Source organism: Homo sapiens, chromosome 16, assembly GCF_000001405.40.
Source record: "Homo sapiens chromosome 16, GRCh38.p14 Primary Assembly".
In the NCBI taxonomy this organism is placed as follows: Eukaryota; Metazoa; Chordata; class Mammalia; order Primates; family Hominidae; genus Homo; species Homo sapiens.
In genome coordinates this window covers 89,000,552-89,005,585 of record NC_000016.10, presented here as the reverse complement: position 1 = coordinate 89,005,585, position 5,034 = coordinate 89,000,552, and the positions used below count along the sequence as shown (strand labels likewise).

Below are 5,034 nucleotides of genomic sequence, written 5' to 3'. Positions count from 1 at the left end.
AGGGGGCCTGCAGCTCATGTGAGGCCATGAGCAGAGCAAGCCCAGACCAGAAAGGAGGCCAGACCCGGTGGCCTGGGCTTCCCATGGAGGGCATTGCAGCCATGGAGGACGCAGGCAGAGTGGCGGCCTGGCTGACCCAGCCTCAGCAGGAATGGCCTCCTCCTCACAGGGCCCTGAGGCGGCTCCGGCACCAGCTCACCTCCTTCCCCGCAGGAGCAAAGTTGTTTATGTGGTCGTGTGTTCAGCACTTGTCTCTGCCAGCTGGGCCGACACCGCAACGACAGAAAAGATAGAACTCGGCTGGGACAGGAGGATCACTTGAGGTCAGGAGTTCAAAAGTAGCCTGACCAACTTTTGATGGCAAAACCCCATCTCTACTAAAATACAAAAACTAGCTGGGTGTGGTGGCGTGCACCTGTAATCCCAGCTACTCAGGAGGCTGAGGCAGGAGAATCATTTGAACCTGGGAGGAAGACTTTGCAGTGAGCCGAGATTGCACCACTGCACTCCAGCCTGGGTGACAGAGCAAAACTCTGTCTCAATAAAAATAAAAATAAAAACCAATCAATCAATAAACTCTCTGTCTGCTCCCAGCTGGGGTCTGAGGTGGGGTCAGTTACCTGAAGGTGGAGACCAGTGGGCTCTAGTCCTGCCTGTTCTGTGATGAGAGGAGATCTCCCCAGGGTCTGACCCTCCTCTGCTCCGCCTGCCTCTATGCTCAGGACTGGGAGACCCCCCCATGACAAAAAGCGCAGGAGGCCAGGCAGCAATTGCAGTTGCAAAAAAAAAAAAAGATCAAATTCAAACTGGGAACCCAGCGCATCAAGGACTTAAAACGGTGAGATGTCGCCAGGCTGCGCACACGCGGTAGACTGCCGCCACTCGGCCTCTCCACCCAGACCTCAGGGACAGCTCCCCGGAGGGGTGTGACCCCATGGGATTCCCCACTCACCAGGTGCTTGGAGGCCCCCTCCTCCTGGCCCCTCCACCTGCACCTGAAAACTTCCCTTCCAACTGAAACTTGGGGCCCAGAGACGATGGCCAAGGAGAGAGGCTGAGAGGGAACAACGTGATGAAGTGTCAAGTCCCCGTCAGCTGCGCTGGTAAACTCCATATTTCCCACGGCATTTAAACGCCTGCAGGCGGATTAATAAGGTCTCAGTAATAGCGCGGCCGTGCGTGCTTATTCTATCTGGAATGCCAGTCGCTCAGGCTGTCTGCATGTTGATGGCGGCCGGGATTGAGGACAGGCGCGTGCTGGCTTTATCTCGCCCGCGCAGGCTACGAGGCCTTATCAGGCCCGCCCGGCTGTGCAGCTGCGTCCTCATGGGCTCCCGCTGCTTCCCGCTGCCTGCTTTGTAATCAGAAGAGAAGTTGCTGCCTTGATATTTCCATTTTTATCTCTTTTATTTACTTCATTTTAATGTCTTTCAGGGAATATTTTCTTTGCAACAAGGCAAGGCTGTTGGTCGCTTACATCTTCCTGCGGCCCCTGCCCCTCGGCCAGGCTGGGGAAAAGGGGGTGAGGGGTAGCGGTCTGGGCTTCCCTTCTCCCCAGCACCTCCTTTCCCCACCGCAGCCTCTCCCCCTCGGTCCCGGCCTCATCTGCTCTCTTCTCCTATCTTCTCCTATCTTCCATCTCCTGCTTTCGTTCCCGTCTGCTTCCAGCCCTTCCTGGCTGCCGTTGCCGGGTTGGGGGGTGGGGGGGTGCTCCCCAGTGATTCTCCCCTCCAGATCCAGATCCAAGCCCCACAGCCTCCCTGGGCAGCCTCTGCTGCTCCCATGCAGGCTCTCCTCGCTTCTCCCCCGGGATCCCAGTCCCAGCCCAGCCCCCTCTGAGGGCTCCACTCCAAATGCCAGCTGGGTGCCCCTGATGGTGGGGCCTGGGTGTGGGGCCTGGGTGTGGGGCCGGGCCGGGTGTGCACAACACAGCCCGCCCCAGTCGAGGAACGGGATGGTTTTGAGTGCGTCCACCGTCTCTTCTGCTGCCACCTGATCCTGCGAGAGATGCAGTTATCTTCCTCTCAGACAACGAAACTGGGGTTCCAAGGGGTTCTCGGTCACGGCCACCTTGCTCCTGCTGTAGCTCGTGATGGAAAGCAGAACGCAGGATGGAGGTGGCACGTGACCTGCTCAGCCTCGCCGAGGCCGAGCTGACCCGGGGCCTGGCCCATCCACCGCCTTGCCGTGCCGCCCCTCCTGTGAGGCAGGGGTCAGAACACGCTCATGAGACAATTCAGCGAAACTGGGGCTGGCAAAGCAGATGGGATGGGCAGAGGGGCTGGAGCCTACACCCTGACCCCCACTGAGCCTGGCTCCTCTGTCCCCCCAGCTCTTCTGTCCCCCCGGCTCCTCTGTCCCCCCGGCTCCTGTGTCCCCCCGGCTCCTCTGTCCCCCCAGCTCTTCTGTCCCCCCGGCTCCTCTGTCCCCCCGGCTCCGGCTCCTCTGTCCCCCCGGCTCCTATGTCCCCCCAGCTCCTGCGTCCCTCCGGCTCCTCTGTCCCCCCAGGTCTTCTGTCCCCCCGGCTCCGGCTCCTCTGTCCCCCCGGCTCCTGCGTCCCTCCGGCTCCTCTGTCCCCCCGGGTCTTCTGTCCCCCCGGCTCCGGCTCCTCTGTCCCCCCGGCTCCTCTGTCCCCCCAGCTCTTCTGTCCCCCCGGCTCCGGCTCCTCTGTCCCCCCAGCTCCTCTGTCCCCCCGGCTCCTCTGTCCTCCCGGCTCCTCTGTCCCCCCAGTTCCTCTGTCCCTCCGGCTCCTGCGTCCCTCCGGCTCCTCTGTCCCCCCGGCTCCTCTGTCCCCCCGGTTCCTCTGTCCCCCCAGCTCTTCTGTCCCCCCGGCTCCGGCTCCTCTGTCCCCCCGGCTCCTCTGTCCCCCCGGTTCCTCTGTCCCCCCAGCTCTTCTGTCCCCCTGGCTCCGGCTCCTCTGTCCCCCCGGCTCCTCTGTCCTCCCGGCTCCTCTGTCCGCCCGGCTCCTCTGTCCTCCCGGCTCCTCTGTCCCCCCGGTTCCTCTGTCCCCCCAGCTCTTCTGTCCCCCCGGCTCCTCTGTCCTCCCGGCTCCTCCGTCCCCCCGGCTCCTCCGTCCCCCCAGCTCTTCTGTCCCCCCGGTTCCTCTGTCCCCCCAGCTCTTCTGTCCCCCCGGCTCCGGCTCCTCTGTCCCCCCGGCTCCTCTGTACTCCCGGCTCCTCTGTCCCCCCGGCTCCTCTGTACTCCCGGCTCCTCTGTCCCCCCGGCTCCTCTGTCCCTCCGGCTCCTGCGTCCCTCCGGCTCCTCTGTCCCCCCGGTTCCTCTGTCCCCCCAGCTCTTCTGTCCCCCCGGCTCCGGCTCCTCTGTCCCCCCGGCTCCTCTGTCCCTCCGGCTCCTGCGTCCCTCCGGCTGCTCTGTCCCCCCGGTTCCTCTGTCCCTCCGGCTCCTGGGTCCCCCAGGCTCCTCTGTCCCCCCAGCTCCTCTGTCCCCCCAGTTCCTCTGTCTCCCCAGCTCCTCTGTCCCCCCAGCTCCCCAGTTTCATGTTGCCAGTGGACACATCCTAAAACCCAGAGCCTGGAAATGTAACCTTATTCAGAAAAAGGGTCTTTGCAGGAAAACTTAAGTGAAGGATCTTGAGATGACATCGTCCTGGGTAGGGTGGGCCCTAAATCCAACGGCCAGTACCCTTAGAAGAGAAGGAGGATGGAGTCAGATGCGCAGGGAAGGCAGCTGCGTGCGGACAGAGGCAGAGATGGGAGTGAGGGCCACGAGCCAGGGAGCCCCGGGAGCTGGATGAGGCGGGAAGGGCTCCCAGCGCCTTCAGAGGAAGCCAGCGCTGCCCGCACCTTGATGTCAGCTCACCGCTGCAGGCTGTGAGAGCCCCAACTTCCACTGTCATGGCCCCCAGAGTGTTGGTGCTTTGATACTCAGCCAGAGGACACACACGGACCCCCACCTGGCTGTGACCCCTCTTGGGCAGATGGCAGGACTCAATCCACTCCGAGTCTGCAGCCGGGAGCCTGGAGCCTCCACCCGCAGGAATTTCCCCCAGCGCAGGAATGAGGTGGAGTGCCAGCAGCTTAGGGTTGTCGGGAGCCGAGCACAGGAGGCTCCCAGGGTGCTGAGCCCAGGAAACTCGTGGCAGCCGGGCAGCATGGTGCTCCCCAAGCACACTTGGCCCCCACATCTCCCGGCCGTGCTGTCAGCACTCCTCCTCCTCCCTGGAGATGCAGAAGCTGTGGCTTCAGATCTCAGCAGCCTGCAGCCTGGATCCCTGAGTCACCACATGGAGGACTTGCCCGACTCACACGGAAGCCGTGGCTGTGTCGAGTGGAGGGTCTTGCCGCCCAACAGCAATCCCAGCCCGCCTGACCCACGCATCCTCTCCCCAGTGATCCAGGCCAAATAGAGTATGGAGCCCACCCCTGGGGGATGGGCAGGCCCAGTTCTCTGTCTTCTTCATAGACAGTGAGTGCTGACCAGAGGCCACACCAGGGCAGAAGCTGGATGGAGGCGGCTAAGGTGGCTTTAAAAACTGGGACTCTGAGTATTCGTGGGGGCTGCATGTTGGTCAGGAATTGTTATTTTCCAGAATTCTCTCTGAAGAACAGGAGGTGCTGGAAGCTGGCAGAGCACCCATGTGGCTCCTCGTTAGAAGGAGAAAGGTCGAGGCTGGAAAGGGCCCCTCCCCACTCCCTGCAGGTGCGGAGGCTCCATTCCCCACAAGGAAGCAGTGGGCGTGGGGTCACCTCCGACATCGCGATGAGGCTGCAGCACCACTGGGCCACACAGGAGGCACAGCGTGGGTCACTCTAGCGGCCTTGAGCGATTCCGGGTTGGAGGAGGAGGGGGCACAGACAGAGGAGGGGGCAGCGGAGGAAGCCCCGGGCATGGGAGAGGCCCCAGCCCAGGGACGGAGGTGTGTGTGGGTGCAGGGAACGTCTGGGGACTGGTCCATCTGGAGGGATGGCGGACACGTGGCAGCAAGAGAGAAGACAGACGGCGCGGTCTGCCTGGAGTCCGCTTTCAAGGTTGGTGCTGCTCAGATTGCTCCTAGAAGCACAGGGTACCCCGTCT

General features: G+C 62.7%; 6 annotated features.

The window, feature by feature from the left end:
- Window positions 823-892: an enhancer, noted in NCBI's record as "active region_11387". NCBI's record gives its function as "activates an Ori minimal core promoter by ATAC-STARR-seq in GM12878 lymphoblastoid cells {active_cell/tissue: GM12878}" and the evidence as "EXISTENCE:reporter gene assay evidence [ECO:0000049][PMID:35858748]".
- Window positions 923-1,152: an enhancer, noted in NCBI's record as "active region_11386". NCBI's record gives its function as "activates an Ori minimal core promoter by ATAC-STARR-seq in GM12878 lymphoblastoid cells {active_cell/tissue: GM12878}" and the evidence as "EXISTENCE:reporter gene assay evidence [ECO:0000049][PMID:35858748]".
- Window positions 1,131-1,425: an enhancer, noted in NCBI's record as "tiled region #15211; K562 Activating DNase unmatched - State 1:Tss". NCBI's record gives its function as "activates a minimal TATA promoter and a strong SV40 promoter by Sharpr-MPRA in K562 cells {active_cell/tissue: K562}" and the evidence as "EXISTENCE:reporter gene assay evidence [ECO:0000049][PMID:27701403]".
- Window positions 1,200-1,344: an enhancer, noted in NCBI's record as "145 bp enhancer 137 fragment used in the MPRA reporter construct; PK_construct_4171". NCBI's record gives its function as "activates an SV40 promoter by MPRA in K562 cells {active_cell/tissue: K562}" and the evidence as "EXISTENCE:reporter gene assay evidence [ECO:0000049][PMID:23512712]".
- Window positions 1,263-1,280: a transcriptional cis regulatory region, noted in NCBI's record as "GATA motif; MPRA enhancer 137 activity is reduced when this motif is scrambled". NCBI's record gives its function as "necessary for full MPRA enhancer 137 activity {active_cell/tissue: K562}" and the evidence as "EXISTENCE:site-directed mutagenesis evidence [ECO:0005528][PMID:23512712]".
- Window positions 4,022-4,582: an enhancer, noted in NCBI's record as "H3K27ac-H3K4me1 hESC enhancer chr16:89067412-89067972 (GRCh37/hg19 assembly coordinates)". NCBI's record gives its function as "activates a minimal SCP1, AML or CMV promoter by ChIP-STARR-seq in naive H9 embryonic stem cells {active_cell/tissue: H9 hESC(naive)}" and the evidence as "EXISTENCE:reporter gene assay evidence [ECO:0000049][PMID:30033119]".